The 22,471-nt window shown below is 44.6% G+C and overlaps 1 protein-coding gene, 2 long non-coding RNA genes and 1 pseudogene across 4 annotated transcripts in view, besides 6 other annotated features; 2 read left to right on the forward strand and 2 right to left on the reverse strand.

Annotated features, from left to right (window-relative positions):
- Positions 1–4,972, reverse strand: part of LRP11 (LDL receptor related protein 11) — a 45,603-nt gene extending 40,631 nt beyond the window's left edge. For both annotated transcript variants that reach the window (NM_032832.6, NM_001410946.1), the window contains exon 1: positions 4,021–4,972. In NM_032832.6, the coding sequence (NP_116221.3) occupies positions 4,021–4,633 (613 nt within the window). In that variant the 5' untranslated portion in view covers positions 4,634–4,972. The remainder of the gene's footprint in view (positions 1–4,020) is intronic.
- The window catches only part of RAET1E-LRP11 (RAET1E-LRP11 readthrough), a 77,374-nt gene that overhangs the window by 40,631 nt on the left and 14,272 nt on the right, over positions 1–22,471 (reverse strand). Inside the window, exons 6-9 of the long non-coding RNA NR_182438.1 lie at positions 9,475–10,498; positions 9,316–9,393; positions 5,829–5,957; positions 5,498–5,610 (exon numbers count right to left, since the gene is read on the reverse strand). This is a non-coding gene — a long non-coding RNA (RAET1E-LRP11 readthrough). The remainder of the gene's footprint in view (positions 1–5,497; positions 5,611–5,828; positions 5,958–9,315; positions 9,394–9,474; positions 10,499–22,471) is intronic.
- Positions 3,977–4,126: a silencer, noted in NCBI's record as "silent region_17667". NCBI's record gives its function as "represses an Ori minimal core promoter by ATAC-STARR-seq in GM12878 lymphoblastoid cells {active_cell/tissue: GM12878}" and the evidence as "EXISTENCE:reporter gene assay evidence [ECO:0000049][PMID:35858748]".
- Positions 4,111–22,471, forward strand: part of RAET1E-AS1 (RAET1E antisense RNA 1) — a 56,011-nt gene continuing 37,650 nt past the window's right edge. Inside the window, exon 1 of the long non-coding RNA NR_045126.1 lies at positions 4,111–4,995. This is a non-coding gene — a long non-coding RNA (RAET1E antisense RNA 1). The remainder of the gene's footprint in view (positions 4,996–22,471) is intronic.
- Positions 4,297–4,406: a silencer, noted in NCBI's record as "silent region_17668". NCBI's record gives its function as "represses an Ori minimal core promoter by ATAC-STARR-seq in GM12878 lymphoblastoid cells {active_cell/tissue: GM12878}" and the evidence as "EXISTENCE:reporter gene assay evidence [ECO:0000049][PMID:35858748]".
- Positions 4,547–4,606: a silencer, noted in NCBI's record as "silent region_17669". NCBI's record gives its function as "represses an Ori minimal core promoter by ATAC-STARR-seq in GM12878 lymphoblastoid cells {active_cell/tissue: GM12878}" and the evidence as "EXISTENCE:reporter gene assay evidence [ECO:0000049][PMID:35858748]".
- Positions 4,677–5,126: a silencer, noted in NCBI's record as "silent region_17670". NCBI's record gives its function as "represses an Ori minimal core promoter by ATAC-STARR-seq in GM12878 lymphoblastoid cells {active_cell/tissue: GM12878}" and the evidence as "EXISTENCE:reporter gene assay evidence [ECO:0000049][PMID:35858748]".
- Positions 4,677–5,283: a biological region, named in NCBI's record as "H3K4me1 hESC enhancer GRCh37_chr6:150185306-150185806".
- Positions 4,783–5,283: an enhancer, noted in NCBI's record as "H3K4me1 hESC enhancer chr6:150185306-150185806 (GRCh37/hg19 assembly coordinates)". NCBI's record gives its function as "activates a minimal SCP1, AML or CMV promoter by ChIP-STARR-seq in naive H9 embryonic stem cells {active_cell/tissue: H9 hESC(naive)}" and the evidence as "EXISTENCE:reporter gene assay evidence [ECO:0000049][PMID:30033119]".
- On the forward strand, positions 20,507–22,335 carry CCT7P1 (chaperonin containing TCP1 subunit 7 pseudogene 1; annotated as a pseudogene).

The raw sequence follows: 22,471 nt of genomic DNA on the forward strand, positions 1-22,471 counted from the left end.
ATATATATATTTTTTTTTTTTTTTTTTTGACCGAGTCTTGCTCTGTCGCCCAGGCTGGAGTCCAGTGTTGCAATCTCAGCTTACTGTAACCTCCGACTCCAGGGTTTAAGCTATTCTCATGTCTCAGCCTCCCCAGTAGCTAGGACTACAGGCGTGTGTCAACAAACCAGGCTAATTTTTCTATTTTTAGTACAGATGGAGTTTCACCATGTTTGTCAGGCTGGTTTCTAACTCCTGGCCTCCAGCAATCCACCTGCGTTGGCCTCCCAAAGCGCTGGGATTACAGGTGTGAGCCACTGTGCCTGGCCCATAAACTCTACGAATAAATAATGTCACATTTTTCCCAGACTCTTGTTTGCAATTCCTTTTGTTTCTTGATATGAAGTTTTTTATAAATGTGCATATAATCTATCCCCTTTCTTTGTGACCTCTTTAATTGATTTGAAACCTGTCTTCCTTCCAGATATGGAAGTTTACTTCCTTTAAGTTTTTTTATGTATGGAGTAATCTATGGCTTAATTTAAAAAAAATTTAATTCTTTAATCCATCTGGAATTTGTGTATGGTCAGAGTTGTAGGTCTAAATGTACTTTCCCTGACACTGCCAACCAGTTATCTTACTATTATTTATTAAATATAATTGTTTATAACACAAAAGGGAGAAGATAAGAATGTGAGAAAGTAAGGCCCTTGGAGAGGGAGAGTGGTCAAGCATCTGCAGAGGGATTAACCTTGAATGGGAAGGTCAACTCTTTTGTTTGCACTTGGCGGAGACAGGGAAAGGCTGGGGGTGGCAGCAGGTGGGTCTGCAGAGAGGAGAGCAGACCTCTGCCTAATAGCTTTGATTTTCCCTGACACACAAGGCAAGGGGCCCACTTCCCAAATTCTTCCCCGAGATACTGGACTTCAGGCTGAATATCCAGCAAAAACCACATAAAGGTTATCGTCCTTGAGTCCTTGGAGGTTATATTCCCTGCTCTTCTGGAATCCTAGCAGCTCTAGCTTCTACCTCTCCTCCCTCCCTCCCTCCCTCCTGCTGTTCTTCACTTTTTATCATGACATCCAGTCCCCCAACCCTCTAGTCATGGGCATGACCCAACCAGGTTCCTAGAACAGTATCATGTACATGCGTGCCACCTTCCTAACTCACAAAGCATGTCCCCCCTTGAACCTCACGACAGCCTGGGATGGAGGACAAGCAGACACCAAGTCCTGGGGGCATGAGCAGGGACTTGTTTGTGGAGACGCCAGGCCCCAGAACTTCAAGCACCCTCCTCTGTTCTACAGATTCTAGCAGGCAGGCTCAGTCACTACAAGACACCTCTCTCCAGCATCTCTCACTCATTCCTGCATCCTCCCGCCTTCCCTACCTCTACCCTCGCAGTCCCAGCCTAGTGATCCCTTTCTCAGCTTCTGCTGGTGCTGCTGGAGAAAGCATAGGAGTTCAGGCTCCACAACCCCATGCTGTGTGACCCTTGGGCAGGTTACTTTCGCTTGCCAAGCCTTGTATACACTAGGGATTATAACAGAACCTAGGCCTTTGTGTTGTTGTGAGGACAGAGTGAGTTCATGCGTGCAAAGGGCTGAGGACAGCACCTAACACCAAAGTCAACAAATGTGGGCATGAAAACAGGGCTGGTGTGTCCTGCTGTAAGTTCGTGCTATCCCATCACCATTTCTTCATGGTGCTTTCATCCACCTCAGATGGATCCAGTCACAGCTCCTCTCCAAGGGCTCTTCTAAACCATTTTCACATGCTCACAACCCAAAAACGAACAATTCAAGAAGGAAAAACTTAGTCTCTGAAGCATAAACAACTTCAACCTGTCAAGCATCTGAGCAGGGGACACACAGGACACTGGGGAACAATTTTTGACCTCCACGCAGAGAGAACAAATGAGCCTCTACAGGAACCTGAGCCGCACCTTCCGCGTTTCCATGTTGCTGGGACCTCAGGAAGTCTGAGCACAGCAGTGTTCTCCCAGAAATGAGGACCAGCACCGCGCTCGCCTATTTTCATCCCAAACATCTACAAAACAATTCCTAGACAAACTCCCCTGGGGAAAGGAAGGGCAACGAAGCAAGCAAGAGGAAAAACAACCCAGAAACTTCTCATAGTAACCTGAAGTTTTTGTTTCTGTTTCTGAGGCAGTGTCTCCCTCTGTTGCCCAGGCTGGAGTGCAGTGGCGCAATCTGTACTCACTGCGACCTCCACCACCACAGTTCAAGCGATTCTCCTGCCTCAGCCGCCCGAGGAGCTGGGATCATAGACAGGCGCCACCATGCCAGGATAATTTTTGTGTTTATTTCTTTTTAGCAAAGACGGGTTTTGTCATGTTGGCCAGGCTGGTCTCTAACTCTTGGCCTCAAGTGATTCACCCGCCTTGGCCTCCCAAAGTCCTGGGGTTAGTTATGAGCCACCGTGCCTGGCGTCTCCAAGTAATCTAAACTTTAAAATTTTTGTTCTATGGCATATTCTTTCCTTGTTTATTTTCCTTTTCAAAGGTTTCCTCTGGGTTTATAGGAAAGCTCACTTTGGCAATGTCAGTTTCTTCCAGGTAAGTAGTGAGAACACAGAGAAAAGACTTTGTTTCTTTGCTGCTGGGATATTTTGGTCTGTGTTTGGGCAGAGAGGATGTGTGTGCAACAGCCGTGGTGGGCCTCAGAGATGCTGATGGGGGGTCCAAGTGAAAGTGCTGCCTGCCTCCACTTCAGAAGGAAAGCTATGGAGTCCTTCCCAGTGTTTGCCTCAAGGCCAAGCAGTCGCAGGGTGACCCTTTGATATCTGCTCCCCTGACAAGGATTCTGAGCCTCATCTAAGGTAGAGGTGGGGAGGGAGGCAGGATGTGATGGACACAGATTTCCAGACTCTTTCAATGGATCCACAGGTTTTGGAGAATCCACACTTCCAAAGGGGCTGAGCTCCGCCCCCATCTTGCTGATATCATTCGTGCTATTATAAATCAAACAGCAACAGGGCATGATTAAACACACGGAGCCTGACCACACGTGGGCACAATCAAGGTCTCTTATTCCCTCCGTGACATTCATGTCCAACCACTACCATTTTTGTGCCTCCTGTATGTGTCCTGATTCTCTCATTCAGAGCATCTACAAAAAGTCAAACCGTCGAATCAGCATCATTTTTAGTCCTTAAGAAACACGCTTTAAAGTTTCCTATTTTCTTTTCCTTTTTTTTTTTTTTTTTTTAAGATGGAGTTTCGCTCTTGTTGCCCAGGCTGGAGTGCAATGGCGCGATCTCGGCTCACTGCAACCTCCGCCTCCTAGGTTCAAGCGATTCTCCTGCCTCAGCCTCCCGAATAGCTGGGATTACAGGCGCATGCCACCAGCTCTGGCTAATTTTTGTATTTTTAGTAGAGATGGGGTTTCATCACATTGGTCAGGCAGGTCTCAAACTCCTGACCTCAGGTGATCCGCCCTCCTCGGCCTCCCAAAGTGCTGGGATTACAGGCATAAGCCACCACGCCCGGCCTTAAAGTTTCTTATTTTCAACGAAAATCAAGTCCCCTCTTTTCACTTTTTATAAAAGGGACCAGAAGTTTTCCTCCCATTTTTGTATGATGAAAGCCACCGCAGGCAAAGTCAGGAGAGCCACGTCAAGAAAAAGGAGTGGGTGTTACGAGAAGCCCGGCATCTAATTAGATTTTGCTCTTGCAATTACTTAACACAAACCATGCCTTATACAACCCATGAGACTAAAACAAACTTTTTTCTCTCAGCATTTCTCCCCTTTTAAGTCATATTTCCACGAATCCTCTCAGATCAGCCTTTCTCTTCAAGCCTAGAAAAATTCCAGTAGCACGTCACCGCGCCCGCCCGCCCGCTTCTGCCAAACTACTGGGCTTCCTCTTCCCTAAGACAGAGAAACCCATGCCAGAAACTCTTCTGGGTGCCCGCGGCTAAAATAACTTGGCACGAGTGTGTTTCGCTTCCAACTTGGCGAGGGCGCTGCGGGTCTCGAGCGCTCTGGCCAAGGCCGGCCCCTCAGTCGCGCGCTTACCCTGCCGGGGCGAGGCGCGCGCGGTGGCCAGGGCGGCGCCGTCCGGCGCGCGGCTGAGGCTGTAGCTGCTGTAGCCGCTGTGCAGCGCGAACTTGCAGACGTTGCGGCCGCGCGCCGTGCAGTTGAAGAGGTAGCAGCCGAGCACGGCTGCCGGGGGCGCGGGGCGCCGGGGCAGCTCCACCACGGCCACGGAGCAGCGCGGCTCGGAGCAGCAGGCCGCCACGCATTGCCGCCAGCCCCGCACGGCCGCCGGCGCCCGCAGGAAGCTGGCACCCGCCGCCAGGGAGTCCTTGGTGCGGATGATGGCGTCAGGCATTGCGCTGTAGCCGCCGCTGCCCGGGCCCGGGCAGTCCTCCTGGGGGCCGCCGCCCGCGCGCAGCTCCAGCTCCAGCTCCTCCTGAGGCCGCTCCTGCTGCAGTTGCCGGCGGAACTCCTCCAGCAGCTGCTCCACGCCCGACAGCTGCGCGTGCAGTTCGGACAGCGGCGCCGCGGGCGGCAAGGCCGCACGGCCGCTTGGCAGCCACAGGCAGAGCAGTAGCAGCCCGCGCAGCGCCCCGTGACGCGGCGGTAGCCGGCGCTGCGAGCCCGCGCTCTCCTGGGCGACGGAGGCCATGGCGACGAGAGCCAAGGGCAGCGAGCCGAGGCGGGGCTGAGCGCGGGAGGAAGGCGGGGACGCGGGCGAGCGCGGGCCCTGGGCCCCTCCTGCGCGGCCGCGGCTGGCTCTAGGCCCCGGCCTCACAGCGCGGCGCCCCCGAACCCGGCTGCTCCCCCGAGGTCGCGGGCGCCGGCGGGAACCGCAGTAGCGGGAGACATAGCCGGCCCAGCCGGGCACCGCTCCTTGCCCTCGCCGGAGACTGCCCAGCGCCCTGCGCCTCTCCGCCCCGGCCTGCGGCGCGCTGGGTGGCGACGAGTCGGCCTCGGCGTTGATCAGCACCAGGTGTGTGCGAACAGTGGCCGCGGCGGGGTGGAGCCTTGGTGAGCCCCGCCCCCCCGCGCGGCCCCGCCCCCGCGCGTCTCGCGCCGGCTCCTCCAGGGCTGGGAGAGCAGGCCCCGGGGAGGGCAGCCTCAGAACAACTTTGCTCCCGCGCCGCTGCCCAGCTAGGGCAGGGTTCATGTCTGGGCCCAGCAGGCTTTAGCAACCAACCACACCTGCCCAGGGCGCCTGCCCACAGGGGCTTGGCATTCGGGGGAATGGGGGCAGTGGGAAGGGAGGGCCTGTCTTCAAATCCTCGTGACCCCCGGGACTACTCCAGAGAGGGGGCACGCGCACCTAGGACCACCGTAGCGCGTCATCAGTCCTTCACCTCCAGCGTCCCTGACTTTCCGCATCATGTTCCCAAGATGTGCTTGGGTAGTACAAAGTGGGGCGGGGTTGGGGTGGCGGAGTCAGGGCCGGGAGGGGTGGGGATGGGAAGTACTGAAAGATGTTCAGTCTGTTTAAAAACACAAAAATCAAGCCTGGTGAGGTGGTACTCGCCTGTAAGTCCTGAGGCTGAGTTGGGAGGATGGCTTGGACCCAGGAGTTCGAGACTGCAATGAGCTGTGATCACACCACTGTACTCCAGCCTGGGGGACAGAACAAGACCCTGTCTTTAAAAATAAAAACAAAACCCATAAATAGCAGTCGTCACATGCACTCAGATTTCCACAAATATAACAAAAAATCTGAACACAGCCAACATGGGGACCTGGGAGTAATACAGCCTGTGACAGAGAGGCCTCTAGCGGTTATATCACGTAAAATCTCGGGAGTTGTGCTTTAAATGACATAAGGAATAAGAAAATGTCCAACCCAGTGGGGGCTTCACCTTGGCGTTCTAGACTTCTGTGAGCAGCATCTGCATCTTGTTTGTTTCTGAATCAGTTTCTGTTGATTCATTTTTCTCCTGATTGTGGATCGCATTTTCTTGCTTTTTAGCCTGTCCGGAAATTTTTGCCTGGATGCGCACATTGTAAATAGAACACTGTTAAGTGTCTGTATTTTTTAGGATTGAAAGAATAAATAATTGGTGGGAAAATATCAGTCTCTGCTATGTGTTTATTATCTCCAGAGTTGACATTTAGGAACCCATTGCTTGCAGATCCAGATCAGAGTAGGAGGTAAAATTAAAAGGTAGCAATAGAAAAGAAAGAAAAAAGCTCAATGTTACTTGCCATTCCATCAAAGGGAGAAATTATAAAGTTTTTGCAGGGGTATATTTGAGTGATTTTTGAGGCTAAAAGAAATGGCCTCTTAGCTCTAAAGGCTGTGTCTGGACTGTACCACTTCGGCCTGGAGATTCTTCCTCATATGGCATACTCATCCCACACAACTGCAGTCATTGTAAGATGACCTTGAAGCAACATAATGCTTTTTATTTTTTATTTTTATTTTTTGCCATAGACCTTGGAGAGCTTGAGCAGGATTGTTATGAGGAGAAACTTTCACTAGTGATGAAAATGCTGACTGAGGGTATCATCAAACCCTCCAAGGACTAGTTGTTATATAAGTTATTAATATTAAAAATAACATGATAATATATAATATTAACTAAGAATTGTACATGATTTCAAAGTTTGCCAAACACTTTCACATACATGATTTTATGTGCCTTCACAGAGACTTTGACCACCTCACTCCTGCCTTTGGGACCGTGAAAGAGAAGTCAGTATAGAGTGAGCCCTAGCTCACATGTTCCGTGGTAGGGAAGTGGACAGGGGAGAGGACAGCATTTCTCAGGGGCATTCATTTCTAAATCCCTCCAGCACCATCAAAGATTTTCCTGCATCTGCAACTTTACAATAGGTCTTTTTGGGAGAAGTGGAAATTATTTAATGTTGTGTTTACCGTGAGCAGTGGTTATTTCTGGGCTGTGAGTTGCAAGTACTGAAGGGGAAATACTGACTTTTATAATTTATAAGACTTTGTTGAATTTTTTTTTTGCAATGAGCTTGTTGTAAATGATTTTCTATTTTTTAAAAATAAGTGTTGACATCTGCTTCAGCCAGGAGGGAGCAACAAGGACTGGACTTACTCTGTGACCTGAAATGAAAAATCTGTGAAAAAAATGTATGGAACAATGGTTTTCAGACATTGGGCAACAGGCAATGCAGGGCCCAAGAGAAGGGAGACAAAGGAAGTGAACATGCTGCTTGCTCCAGCTTACTGCCTGGAGAGGGTTTCCAAGCCGCAATGCAGACAGGCGAACCAAAAGAGACTCTGAGTTGGAAAATAGAGCTGAGAATTCAGGGAGGCCAGGGTGGCTAGAGTACCAGAGAGGAGAGAGTGCAACGGAAGGAGGGAGCTCTGGAGATCTGTGCAGGGTTCCTCTGAGTCTTCAGCAGAAGTTCGACCAGGTACATGCATGTGAGGAAACTTCCCAAGACAGAGAGGCAACCACTAGAAAAAAGCTGGCAGAAAAACTTCTGAGCTTGCATTGGCCAGGCAATAGTTCGTTCCCAACAGCCAGAGTGGAGAAACCTTGTGACAAGAGGCATGAGTTTGAGTAGGAAGGGAAGGGATTACAGAGAAGCACATGAAAACTTTTGCAGGTGATAGGTGTGTTCATTACCTTGATTGTGGTGATGGTTTCACTGGTGAATACATTGATCAAAGTTCATCAAATTGTGTATTTTAAGTGGGTATAGTCAATTATATGTTAATAAGGCTATTTTTTAAAAACGAAGTTTCATTGCACTGTGCATTGTGATTTATCTTCTTTTTCTAGTTCTCTTTTCAGTTTTTTTCAGAAATAAACTATCTTTGTTTTAAAAGCCTAAACATCAAAACCTTATCAATGGATAGAAGAATTTTTATGTGAGGATGAAAATGTCAGGAAGATGTGTTTCTGTTTTATAAGATAGATCATTAAGAGTAAGAGTGGATCAAATTGAGATTGGACTTCGTAGGTCAGTTTGTTGAATGTTGGAATGAGATAACCTGTGTCTTAGCTGGGCTGCTGTAACAGAATACCACAGACTGGGAGGCTTCTAAACAACAGAAATTTATTCCTCACAATTCTAGTGGCTGAGAAGTTCAAGATCATGGTGCTGGCAGACGCTGATATCTGGTGAGGGCCCACTTCCTGGTTCATAGACAGCAGTCTTCTCACTGAGTCCTCACCTTGTGGGAGGAGTTAGGGAGCTCTCTGGGATTTTTTTCTTTTCTTTTCTTTTCTTTTTTGAGACAAAGTCTCGCTCTGTTGCCCAGGCTGGAGTTCAGAGGCACAATCTCTGCTTACTGCAACCTCTGCCTCCTGGGTTCAAACGATTCTTCTGCCTCAGCCTCCTGAGTGGCTGGGATTACAGGCGCACACCACCACGCCTGGCTAATTTTTGTATTTTTAGTAGAGACTGGGTTTCACCATGTTGGTCAGGCTGGTCTCGAACTCATGACCTTATGATCTGGCTGCCTCAGCCTCCCAAAGTGCTATGATTTCAGGCATGAGGCACCGTGCCTGGCCTGGGATCTTTTTTATAAGAACACTAATCCCATTCATGAGGGCTCCACCTTCATGCCCTAATCATCTTCCAAATTCTCCACTGCAAACATCATCACATTAGGTTTCAACATAGGAATTTTGGGGGGTTACAAACATCCAATCTACAGCAACACCCTAGTGACATCGTTTTTTGTTGCCCTCCCCTCCCCTCTACTGCCCATCTAAGTACTTTTACAGGCATCGAATAAGTTAAGTCAGTGCATGTGAAGTGCTTAGAAGGGCATCTGACACATTATAGAAGTTCAATAAATGCTAGTTGTTGTTGTTATTACAACAGAAATGAAGGACCTTTCCTAAGATTAGAAGTCATGAAACCACTTGAAGCCTGAATCTCCTCTACAACATCCCAGCTGAGTGGCTGTTGCACTAAGATTCTTCCTTCTCCATACCCCTTTCATGGAATCTGCTCTGCTCACGTCCCTGGAAGGGGCAGCCCCAACCCCCAGGTGGCCACACCCCCTGTTCACTAGGGATGGAATCAATAATGAATGCCTGGCCCAAGCACAGCCAATCAGATACTCTCTCCAAGGAATGTAAAAACAGAATTGAGAAACAAACTGACTCAGCAAATCAACTCAACAAACTGACTCAACAAATTGAGTCAGGGAGGGAAGTGTAGCTGGGAAGCCAGGTGAGCTCCAGGGGACATGGAAGGGGATGATAGCAGAGAGAAGCTGTTCAGCAGAGGGGGACAAATGGAACCGTGAAAAGAGGAAATAGAGAACAGTGCATACATAGCCTTGAGAGAGGGAGGGAGTGAAGACAGGAGTTGCCTGACACTTTCTGGTCTCAAATCTCTCCCCTGAGCACCTACTTGGCCTTCTACCTGGAATTCCTCTCATGGAGTTCTTGCCTTGCAGCTCAGTGATCTAGGTTCATCCTAGTTAAATCTCTGTGGATTGCAAACAACAGAAACTCATTTTAGATTGGTTTAAAGAAAAAATAGCTACCGTGTTTACACACATGCACTCACAGGCAGGGAGGAAATGCAGCCAGGCCTTGGGAGGGCCTGGACCAGACATGGCAGAACCCTCAGCAGTCAAGCAGCTGGTCTCCCAGTTGCTGCTTCTCTCTTCTGGGACCAAGTAGTCTGAGATCTCCACTTCTCTCTGCACATCTGATTCATGCTTCTCTCAGAGTCTGGAGTTTTCTGCCCTCCATGCACAGAGCCTGAGTCTATCTCACCTCACCTGCAGCAATGAACAGAAACTCAGAACAGTGACCATCAGTACCAAGAGAGAGACTCTGATGAGTCTAGCTTGGTCCTGTGTCCACCCTAAACTGAGGTTAGTGTGCAGAGACCATGAGGCACAAACAGGGCTACAAACATGGCCTTCCCTCTCCTCATTGAGGATGGAAAGAGAGGCCGTTCTTAGAGGAAGGACGTGGTAGTAACTGGGGAAAATCCTGAGAAGTTGTCTTCTGCGTTGACTCAGGCAATGCCCCATGTCTGCTTGAACATGTTCATTAATTTTCATTTTAAATTTAAGAAACGCTTATAAAAAGTACTGTGCTACGACTACCAGGAACCGTTCTGAGTTCTGCACAGTCACTTATTTACTTAAAACAACAATTACGCAGCATGTGCTAGTATTACCCCCAATTCACAGGTAGGGAATGCAATATTTTGTTACTGAAACACCAGGGGTTCAGTTTAGGTCCTGTTGCTTGCAGCACAGAAAGCCAATCACTGGATCAAGTATTTTTGGGGGAAGAAGGCTTTCTTTGGTGCTGCCAAATAAAGATAAGTGGAGATAAGTCTCAGATCTTCGACCAACTTAAATTGGGGTGTATATAGTGGGGAAGGAGTGTAGCTACCCACAGGAAAACAGGAATTAAGGAGGGGTAAGGAAGAACAATTGGTCAACGGGAAGCAGATGGTTGGTTAGGAAAACAGGAATTATGGAGGAGTAAGGAGAGGAGTCTGGTGTCTCGTTATCTGGATGTGGTGATGTGAGTTTTACTTCCTCGATATTATCTGGAAGTCGGAGGGTTTCCTGAAAAAGGAATTCAGATAAGACAAATGTAAGTTTTAAGCATTAAGAAAAGCAGGGTCCATTTCTAGCTTTAATAGGAAAAAAATGGCAAACATCAGTTCTCGGGGGAAATTGAGCTAGTTTCACCTTCACACACCAAAGCTCCTTCCATCTTTGGGCAACTCTTACTATTCATTAGAATGTTTTCCTTATATTCAGTTACAATCTGTTTTGTAGCTTCCAAGTATTTGTCCCAGTTCCTTCTCTTGGGACCACTCAGAGCAACCTACACCTACTCCCAAGTGATAGTCCTTTAAATAATTTTAAAATGCCATTGAAGCTCAGGCAACTCAGCTTGCTTAGTACAGCACAGTGTTGAGTGTGGCTTATGACAGCAGTGTCAAACACCTGCTGGCTGTGTGACTTTGGGCAAGTCACCTACCCTCTTCAAGCACCAGATCACCCCGCCGTAATATAGGAATAATTGCCTCACCTTGCTTCCCACAAGTGTGGTGAGGATTAAGTGAAACACAGCACATAAAGCACTTAGCACAATGGCTAGTGCGCTAAAGGCTCCTAAGTGTTAGCTGGGATCATCCCCTCTCAGTTCATCGATTCATCACATCGTGAGGCTTGCAGATCTCCATTCTGTCATCTAACCTGTTTTCTATCCCACCTGGCTTTGTTATTGTTGCGTTTTTCAGCATTACTGAGGTATAACTGACAAATAAAAATTGTAGGCTGGAGCAGTGGCTCACGCCGGTAATTCTAGCACTTTGGGAGGCTGAGGCGGGCAAATCACGAGGTCAGGAGTTCAAGACCAGCCTGGCCAACATAGTGAAACCCGCATCTCTACTAAAAATACAAAAAAAAAAAAAAATAGCTGAGCATAATGGCTGGCACCTGTAATCCCAGCTACTCGGGAGGCTGAGGCAGGAGAATCGCTTGAACCTGGGAGGCCCAGGTTGCAGTGAGCTGAGATGGTGCCACTGTACCCCAGCTGGGCAACAGAGTGAGACTCCACCTCAAAAAAAAAATTGTATGTATTTGACAAATATGACATGACCATTTTACGTACATATATATTGTGTATGATTACCACAATCACATTAATGAACATATCCATCACCACACACAGTTACCATTGTGTGTGTTGTGTGTGTGGTGAGGGTACTTAAGGTCTACTCTTTTAGCAAATTTCAAGTAAACAATACAGTATTATTAACTATAGTCACCATGCTGTACATTAGATCCAACTTAACATCTTATAACTGAAAGTTTGACCAACTTTAAAGTTTGACCCTTTGAGCAACATCTCCCCCAGCCCCTGACAATGACCGTTCTATTCTCTGCTTAAGTTTGACTTTTTAGATTCCAAATGAAGAAAAATCATATAATATTTTATGTTGATGTCTAGCTTACTTAAGTAGCATAATGTCCTAATGTTCTCCAGATTCACCCATATTGTCACAAATGGCAGGATTTCCTCCTTTTTATGGCTGTATAATACTCCATTGCATATCTATCTGTATCTACATCTATCTGTGTATCTATATCACATTTTCTTAATTGGCCTGTCAGTGAACACTTAGGTTGTTTCCATATCTTGGCTATTGTGAACAGTGCTGCAATAAACATGGGGGTACAGATATCTCTTGGAGATACTGCTTTCAGTTCGTTTGGATACATACCTAGAAGTGGGATTGCTGGGTCATATGTTAGCTCTGTTTCTAATAGAACTTTTTTTTGTACTGTTTTCCATAATGGCTATACCAATTTACATTCCCACTGACAGTGTGCAAGGGTTCTCTTTTCTCCACACACTCACCAACACTTGTTATTTCTTGTGTTTTTTTTTAAATGATAACACCACTTTAACAGATGCAAGGTGATATCTCATTGTGATTTTGATTTGCATTTCTCCGATTATTAATAATGTGGAGCACCGTTTTATGTATTTGTCACCCACTTGTAGGTTTTCTTTGAATAAAATGTCTATTCGTGTCCTTTGCCAGTTTTTGAAAAGCAGGTTTTGTTTTTGTTTTTGCTATTGAGTTATATGAGTTCTTTCTGTGTTAAAGACGAACATTGGATATTAATTCTTTATCAGATACATGGTTTGCAAGTATTTTCTCCCATTTTGTGGGTTGTCTTTTCACTCTGTTGATTGTTTCCTTTATTGTGCGGAAGCTTTTTAGTTTGATACAGTCCCAGCTGTTTATTTTTGCTTTTGTGTGCTTCTGGTGTCACATCAAGAAAATTATTACCAAGACCAATGTTAAGAAGCTTTTTCCCTATGTTTTCTTCTAGTAGTTTCAGTTTCAGGTCTTACATTTAAATCTTAATACATTTTGGGTTAACTTTTGTATAGGTTGTAAGATAAAGGTCCAATTTCATTCTTTGGATGTGGTTACCACTTATTCTCAATACCATTGACTGAAGAGACTATCCTTTCCCTATTGCATATTCTTGACACCCTTGTCAAAATTAGTTGACCATATATGTGTGGGGTTATTTCTGGGCTCTCTGTTCTGTTCCACTATTGGTCTATATGTCTGCATTGATGCCAGTACCATACTGTTTTGATTACTATAGCTTTGTAGTATAATTTGAAATCAAGAAGTGTGATGTCTCCAGTTTTGTTCTTCTTTCTCAGATTGCTTTGGCTATTTGAGTTCATTTGTGGTTCCATTTTTTTTTTTTTTTTTGAGATGGAGTCGTGCTCTATCACCTAGGCTGGAGTTCATGGCATAATCTTAGATCACTGCAACCTCTGCCTCCTGGATTCAAGTGATCCTCCTGCCTCAGCCTCCTGAGTATCTGGGACTACAGGCGTGCACCACAACGCCTGGCTAATTTTTGTATTTTTAGTAGAGACGGGGTTTCACCATGTTGGCCAGGCTGGTCTTGAACTCCTGACCTCAGGTGACCAGCCCACCTCAGCCTCCCAAAGTGCTGGGATTACAGGCATAAGCTATTGTGCCCAGCCTTGTGGTTCCATTTGAATTTTACGATTGTATTTTCTATTTCTGTGAAAAATGTCACTGGAATTTTGATAGGGATTGTAATGAACCTGTAAAACATTTTGTGTAGTATGGACATTGGAACAATATTAATTCTTCCAATCCATGAACACAGGATATCTTTCCTTTTATTTGTGTCTACTTTAATTTCTTTCATCAATGTCTATATTTTTCAGTGTACACACCTTTTACTTCCTTTGTTAAATTTATTCCTAAGTATTTTATGCTTTTTGATGCAATTATAAATGTGTCTTAATTTATTTTTTAGATAATACATTGTTAGTGTATTGAAATCCAACTGATTTTTGTATGTTGATTTTGTATCCTACAACTTTGTTGTATACATTAACTTATTTATTTTTGAGACAGGGTCACTCTGTCACCCAGGCTGGAGTGCAGTGGTACAATCACGGCTCACTGCAGACTTGACTTCCTGGGCTCAAGTGATCCTCCCATTTTTAGCCTCCTGAGAATGAGGGTCTCACTATGTTGCCCAGGCAGGTCTCAAACTCCTAGCCTGAAGCAATCCTCCTGCCTTAGCCCTCCAAAGTACTGGGATTACAGTTGTGAGCCACCATGTCTGGCCTACTGAATTTATTTATTAGTTCTAATGGTTTGGGGGAGTAGTTTTTAGAGTTTTCTATATATAAGATCATGTCATATGCAAACAAAGACAATTTAACTTGTTCCTTTCTCATCTGAATATTTTATTTTCTTCTCTTGCCTAATTGCTCTGGCTAGGATTTCTAATACTTTCTGGAATAGAAGCACTGAGAGTGGGCATTCTTGTCTTTTTCCTGATTTTTGGGGGAAAGCTTTCAGGTTTTCACCTTTGAGTATGACGTTAGCTGTGGGCTTGTTGTATACAGTCTTTATTATGTTGAGATACATTTCTTCTACATCTAATTTGTTGAGAGTTTTTTTATAAAAAGATGCTAAATTTTGTCAAATGCTTTTTCTGTGTCTGTTGAGATGATCATATAATTTTTATCCTTCATTATGTTAATATGGTGTGTCACATTTATTGCTTTGCATGTTGAACCATTCTTGCATCCCAGGGATAAATCCCACTTGATCGTGGTGTATGATCCTTTTAATGTGCTGTTGAATTCAGTTTGCTGGTATTTTGTTGAGAATGTTTGCATCTGTGATCACTGGGGATATTGGCCTGTAATTTTCTTTTCTTATATTTTTCTTATCTGGCTTTGGTGTGAGGGTAATGCTGCTCTTGTAAAAGGAGTTTGGAAGTGCTCCATCTCCTTCAATTTTTTGGAAGAGTTTGAGAAAAACAGATGTTATTTCTTCTTTAAATGTCTTGTAGAATTTACTGATGAAGCCATCTGACCCTGGCCTTTTCTTCCTGAGGAGATTTTTGATTGTTGATTCAATCTCCTTTCTCACTAATTGTCTATTCTGGTTTTCTTTCTTCATGATGCAGTCTTGATAGGTTATGTTTCTAGCAATTTATCCATTTCTTCTAGGTTACCCAATTTGTGGGTGCACAATTGTTTATAGTAGTCTCTCATGATCTTTTGTCTTTCTGTGATATCAATTGTGATGTCTTTCATTTATAATTTTAATCATTTGAGTCTTCTCTGTTTTTCTTCATTAGTCTACGTTTGTCAATTTTATCTTTCATAAAACCAACTCTTAGTTTCGTTTATCTCATCTATTGTTTTTCTAGTCTCAAATTCATCGATTATTTCTGCTTTAATTTTTATTATTTCCTTCCTTCTGCTGACTATCAACTTAGTTTGCTTTTTTTTTTCTAGTTCCTTGGGATTTAAAGTTACATTATTTGAGATCTTCCTTTTTTCTTTTGTTATTATTTATTTATTAGACTTAATGTTCTGCTGAATCTTTTTTAATCTAGGCATTTATTGCCGTAAATACCTGTCTTAGTCTGTTTTGTGCTGGTATAACAAATACCTGAGATTGGGTCATTTATAAATACCATAAATTTATTTTCTCACAATTCTAGAAACTGAGAAGTTTAAGATCAAGGCACTGGCATTTGGTGTCTAGTGATGGCCTTCTTGCTGCATCCCCACATGGTGGAAGGCAGAAGGACAAGCTAGCCAAATGGCACATGAAACCTCTTTTATAAGAGTAGTAATCCCATCGAGGTGGGAGGAGCCCTCGTGACCTAATCAACTCTTAAAGGCCCACCTCTTAACACTATCACAGTGGTAACACCTGAATTTTGGAGAGAACACATCTAGACAATAGCAACATCCTTCTTAGAACTGCTTTTGCTGCATTACATAAGTGTTAGCATGTTGTGGTTCCATTTTGTTTGTCTCAAGATACTTTTTGCTCACCTGGCTTTGTATCCTCTATAAACTGATGATCCTGCCTTCTATGTCTTCATCCAAGAAATCCATGTAAAATATGGACTATGAGAAGGCCAAGGTGAGAGCCTTGAGACACTTCATTAAAGGCTTATGCCAACATTGATATCAATTCATTAATTTGAATCCTCTAACTATGATTATTAGGTTATTTTATTTTAATTTTTTTTTGAGATGGAGTTTCGCTCTTGTTGCCTAGGTGTACAATGGCATAATCTCATCTCACAGCAACCTCCGCCTCCCGGGTTCAAGCAATTCTCCTGCTTTAGCCTCCCCAAAGTAGCTGGGATTACAGACATGCGCCACTATGCCAGGCTAATTTTGTATTTTTAGTAGAGACAGGGTTCTCCATGTTGGTCAGGCTGGTCTCAAACTCCCGACCTCAGGTGATCCGCCCGCCTCGGCCTCCCAGAGTGCTGGGATTACAGGCATGAGTCACCGTGCCCGGCGATTATTAGTTTATTAATCCACCCAGTTGCCCTTATCCAGCCCATGTATTTCCATCTTCTCCACAAACATATGCAAAATTGTTGAAAATCTTGGAGTTGAGGTTATTGTATTCTCATACTTGCCAATTTATAACAGCAATTTAAAAAATAAAAATATACCGGGGAATTTAGTAAGCAATTTAAGGTTCTGATGAGCATCGTTTTTTTTGTCAGAATTTTCCAAATAGGCCCTCAAAAACTGTTGCTAGAATCTTGTACAGGATTGATATTGGACTGGTATCGTCTTTGCAAAATAAACTATACTCCCCTCTTGACGTTTGTTATCTTTTGCCCATTTCTGTAGTCTAGACACCTTTGATAATGTCCATAATCTCTCAAAGGTCACAAACAATGGTCCAGTCCTCTCATTTGCAAATTGGTATCTGGGACTGTCATTCATGTAGATCAGGAAACCTGGGCTCACCGAGAGCAGTTAGGACTCCCTGATGTTCGTTCCTCCCCTAACTAGTGTTTGTTCTCCCTGGTTAGTCTGAAAATCATTCCCTTTGCCAAAAAAGAAATACTCAATGCCCAAGCACCTAAGTTTCCATGGCACCTATAAAATACTGGAAGCTGACAGTATTTCTGATTGAATAGGTGATAGGAAAGGGGTAGGGGCCAGACACTGGAGAGGACTGGAGAGAAAGAAAGAAAACTGTTTCTCTTTTCAGATGACATGAATGACTGTGCACGTAGTAAAGCTTTGTCTGCTATATCCAACATCTGGATTAGTTCAGAGTTTGTTTTTATTGACTGCTTTTTTTTCTTGAGCAACATTTTCTTGCTACTTTGCAGGTTGCACTGATGATTTTTGCTTTTTAAAGAAAACAAAACTAAAACAACCATTCCAAAGATTAATAGTTTAAAACAACAACCGTTTTATGGGTTCTTATAGATTCTGTGGGTCAGGAAATTTGGAGAGGGCACAATAACTATTGTCTGTCTCTGTTCCATGGCTGGAAAGACCAGAAAGTGGTGACTCAGTTCTTGGTGGAATGACATGGAGATTCCTTTACTAGCATGTCTGATGCCTGGGTTAAGATGATTTGATGTCTAGGCCCACTGACTTTACTACCCACATGTGGCTTGGCTTTCTCACACCATTGGCCTGAGTGGTCTGACCTAAACATCTTCCAAAAGGCCTCACATCCCAACACTGTTGCATTGCGGATTAAGTTTCTGACACATGAATTTTGGGGGACACATTCAGACTATAGCACCCACCGAGAATCAAGGGGAAAAGGCAGAGATTCTACCTCTTGATGGGAAGTGTGTCAAAGAATTGGCAGCCATTTTACAAAACCACCATACTGTCCAGAGATTTTTCATTATTATATCTTGACTATTATTGATGACACGTTGTAGAAACTCTGGATTCTGTTGTTTTCCTCTGAACTGTGTTGATTTTTGTTCCAGTAGGCAATTCAATGACCTGTTAACCATCTTGAACTTTAGAAGGCTTGGTTTTATGCTCTATTAGGTAGATCTGTGGAAAGTCCACGCAGTTCCTATGACCTTCTAAATGCAACTTCAAAACTCTGTCTCCCCTGCTCATCTTGACAGGGATTGATTTTAAGCTTTGTTGGGTAGATCTCACTCTGGGACGTGACCCTTATTTCTAAGCTATGGCCTTAGGATGTTCATGGTGTTAATAAAGTATTAACAACATCTCTCCTCTCTGGCTGGGCTGGCCCCCAATGTCCTGCAACATGTCTCTGCCTCTACTATCTCTGTTTCAACCCCATAGCAGTGGTTCTCTGGCAAACTTCAGGAGGTCTCACTCTGAGCAAGCACTACTCGGCCAAGGACTTCCCCCACAGACTTCTGCCCCTCCTCTCCACTTGGCAATCCCCTCTTTGGTGACCTGTCCTGCAAATTCCAGTCACTTTAGCTGCCCCAATCTCTGATCTCTGCCTTCTATGCTAGTGAGGCCCCTGTGCTGTGTTTGGACTTCAGCTCATAGCACCATGGGGAACTGTCCCCGGCAGACAGTTGTAGGGCTCACCATGGGAATGTCCCCTCTCTCAAGGATAGCAGTCTTGCACTGTCTGTTGTCCACTGCCTGACAATAGCTGCCTATTTTCTTTATTCCTGGGATGCAAGGTGGTTTAACATATGCAAAGTAATAAATATGATTCACCACATCAGCAGAATTGAAAGCAAAAACCATATGATCATCTCAGTAGATGCAGAAAAAGCTTTCAATAAAATCCAACATACCTTCATGGCAAAAACTCTCAACAAACTAGTCACTGAAGGAACATACCTCAAAATAATAAGAGCTGTCTGTGACAAACCCACAGCCAACATCATACTGAATGGGCAAAAGCTGGAAACATTCCCCTTAAGAACAGCAACAAGACAAGGATGCCCACTCTCACCACTTCTATTCAACATAGTACTGGCAGTCCCAGCCACAGCAGTCAGGCAAGAGAAACAAAGAAAAGACATCCAAATAGGAAAAGAAGTCAAGCTGTCACTCTTCACTGTCGACATGATAGTAACTAGAAAACCTTAAAGACTCTGCCACGAGGCTCCTAGAACTGGTAAATGATTTCAGTAAAGTTTCAGGATACAAAATCAATGTATACAAATTAGTTATTCCATACACCAATAATGTCCAAGCTGAGAGCCAAATCAAGAATGCAGTCCCATTTACAACACACACACACAGACACACGCACACACACACCCCTAGAAGTATATCTAACCAAGGAGATGAAAGATCTCTACAGGGATAACTACAAAATCCTGCTGAAAGAAATCATAGATGACACAAGCAAATGGAAGAACGTTCCATGCTCACAGGTTGGAAGAATCAGTACCATTAAAATGGCCATACTGCCCGAAGCAATCTACAGATTCAATGCTATTCCTATCAAACTTCCAATGTTATTTTTCACACAATTAGAAAAAACTATTCTAAAATTCATATGGAACTGAAAAACAGCCCCATTAGCCAAAGCAATCCTAAGCCAAAAAAAAAAAAAAAAAAAAAAAAGGGAGAGGCATCACATCACCTGACTTCAATCACATCACCTGACTTCAAGCTATCCTATAAGGCTACAGTAACCAAAACAACATGGTACTAGTACATAGTGAGAACATGAAGTATTTGGTTTTCTGTTCCTGCATAATTCACTTAGGATAATGGCTGGAACAGAAAACCCAGAAATAAAGCTGCACATCTGCAGCCATCTGATCTTTGACAAAACTGACACAAATAAGCAATGGGAAAAGGTATTCCCTATTCAATAAATGGTGCTGGGATAGCTGGCTATTTATATGCAGAAAAATGAAACTGGACCCTTAACTTTCACTATATACAAAAATCAACTCAAGATGGATTGAATATTTATTTATTTTTTATTTTTTGAGAAGGAGTCTCGCTCTTGTCACCCAGGCTGGAGTGCAGTGGCATGATCTCAGCTCACTGCAACCTCTGCCTCCTGGGTTCAAGCGATTCTCCTGCCTCAGTCTCTCGAGTAGCTGGGATTACAGTTACCTGCCACCACACCCAACTAATTTTTGTATTTTTAGTAGAGACTGGGTTTCACCATGTTGCCCAGGCTGGTCTCGAACACCTGACCTCAGGGGATCCACCTGCCTCAGCCTCCTAAAGTACTGGGATTGCAGTTGAGGGTCACCACACCCAGCCAGATTGAAGATTTAAATATATGACCTCAAACTATAAGAATCCTAAAAGAAATTTTCAGAAATACCATTCTGGACATTGGCCTTGGGAAACAATTTATAACAAGTCCTCAAAAGCAATTGCGACAAAACCAAAAGTTGAAAAGTGAGACCTAATTAAACTAAAGAGCTTCTGCAGGGGAAAAAAAAAAAAAAAAAAAAAAACTATCAACAGAGTAAACAGGCAGCCTACAGAATGGGAGAAAATATTTGCAAACTATGCAGCCAACAAAGGTCTAATATCCAGAATCTGTAAGAAACTTAAACAATTCAACAAGCAAAAACCAAATAACCCCATGAAAAAGTGGGCAAAGAACAGGAACAGACACTTCTCAAAAGAAGACATACTAAGTGTCCAACAAACATGAAAAAATTCTCAGCATCACTAATCATCAGAGAAATGCAAAACAAAACTACAGTGAGATACCATCTCACACCAGCCTGAATGGTGATTATTAAAAAGTCAAAAATTAGGTGGATTGCTGGGCGGACCCGTCACGGAGAAGAGAGGAGAGTCGCGGGCCACTGAATAAGCTTCCAAAATGATGCCCACACTAGTTATCCTGTTGAAAGAGGGGACTGATAGCTCCCAAGGCATCCCCCAGCTTGTGAATAACCTCAGTACCTGCCAGGTGATTGCCAAGGCTGTAAGAGCCACCCTGGGTGCCTGTGGCATGGACAAGCTTATTGTGGATGGCGGAGGCAAAGCAACAATATCTAACGATGTGGCCACAATTCTGAAACTTCTTCATGTTGTCCATCTTGCAGCAAAGACGTTAGTAGACATTGCCAAATCCCAAGACACTGAGGTCGGTGATGGCACCATCTCAGTGACCTTGCTGGCTGCAGAGTTTCTGAAGCAGGTGAAACTGCAGGTGAAGGATGGTTTACACCCTCAGCTCAACATTCGAGCTGTCTGCACAGCCACCCAGTTGGTAGTTAACACGATCAAAGAGATTGCTGTGACTGTGAAGAAGGCAGATAAAGTGGAGTAGAGGAAGCTGCTGGAGTAGTGTGCCAGGACCACTCTGAGCTCCAACTGATCTCACAGCAGAAAGCTTTCTTTGCTAAGATGGTGGTGGATGCAGTGATGACGTGTGATGATTTGCTGCAGCTTAAAATGATTGGAATCAAGAAGGTACAGGATGGAGCCCAGCTGGTGTTGCATTTAAGAAGACTTTCTCTTATGCTGGGTTTAAAATGCAACCCTCCCAAAAATACCAAAATCCCTAGATTGCCCTTTTGAATGTTGAGCTCGAGTTGAAAGCTGAGAAAGATAATGCTTAGATAAAAGTCCACACGGTTGAGGATTATCAGGCGATTGTTGATGCCGAGTGGAACATTCTCTATGACAAGTTAGAGAGGATCTATCATTTTGGAGCCAAAGTTGTCTTGTCTGAACTCCCCACTGGAGATGTGGCCGCCCAGTACTTTGCTGACAGGAACATGTTCTGTGCTGGCCAAGTACCTGAGGAGAATCTGAAGAGGACAATGATGGCCTGTGGAGGCTCAATCCAGACCAGTACGAATGCTTTCTTAGCAGATGTGCTGGGTCGACGCCAGGTGTTTGAAGAGACCCTGATTAAAGGTGAGAGGTACAACTTTTTTACTGGCTGCCTCAAAGCCAAGACAGGCACCTTCATCCTCCATGGTGGTAGTGAGCAGTTTATTGAGGAGACAGAGCGGTCCCTGTGTGATGCCATCATGATCATCAGGAGGGCCATCGGGAATGAGTCAGTGGTGGCTGGTGGCAGGGCCATTGAGAGGGAGTTCTCCAAGTACCTCCAGGATTCCTCAAAGACTATTCCAGGAAAACAACAGCTGTTGATTGGGGCATATGCCAAGGCCTTGGAGATTGTCTCATTCCAGCTGTACAATAATGCTGGCTTTGGGGCCACAGAGATTCTCAACAAGCTGCAGGCATGGCATTCCCAGGGGCACGTGATATGAGGTGGACATCAACAACGAGGACATTGCTGACAACTTTGAGGCCTTCGTGTGGGAGCCAGCTTTGGTATGGATCAATGCCCTGGCAGTGGCCTCTTAGGCTGTGTGCCTGATTGTGTCTGTGGATGAAACCATCAAGAATCCGATTGACTGTGGATGCTCCCCCAGCAGCTAGCTGGGGCCGTGGTCGTGGCCGCCCCCATTGAGAGGCACCCCGCCTATCACATGACTGGCTGGCAGGCTGGCTGCAGGGTGTGCTTACTCTCCTTGGTTTGGTTAATAGACTTTACAAGGAAGGGGTAGTCACTGGCCCACTCTGTTCTCACTGGAGGCTATTTAAATAAAACTTGAGACTTTGGGGGGAAAAAGTAAAAAAATAGCATATGGGTGATGAGGCTATAGAGAAAAGGGAACACTTTACACTGCTGGTGAAAATGTGAAATAGTTTAGCCACTGCAGAAAGCAGTTCAGAGGTTTCTCAAAGAACTTAAA

The sequence above is a fragment of the Homo sapiens genome, chromosome 6 (genome assembly GCF_000001405.40).
Source record: "Homo sapiens chromosome 6, GRCh38.p14 Primary Assembly".
In the NCBI taxonomy this organism is placed as follows: Eukaryota; Metazoa; Chordata; class Mammalia; order Primates; family Hominidae; genus Homo; species Homo sapiens.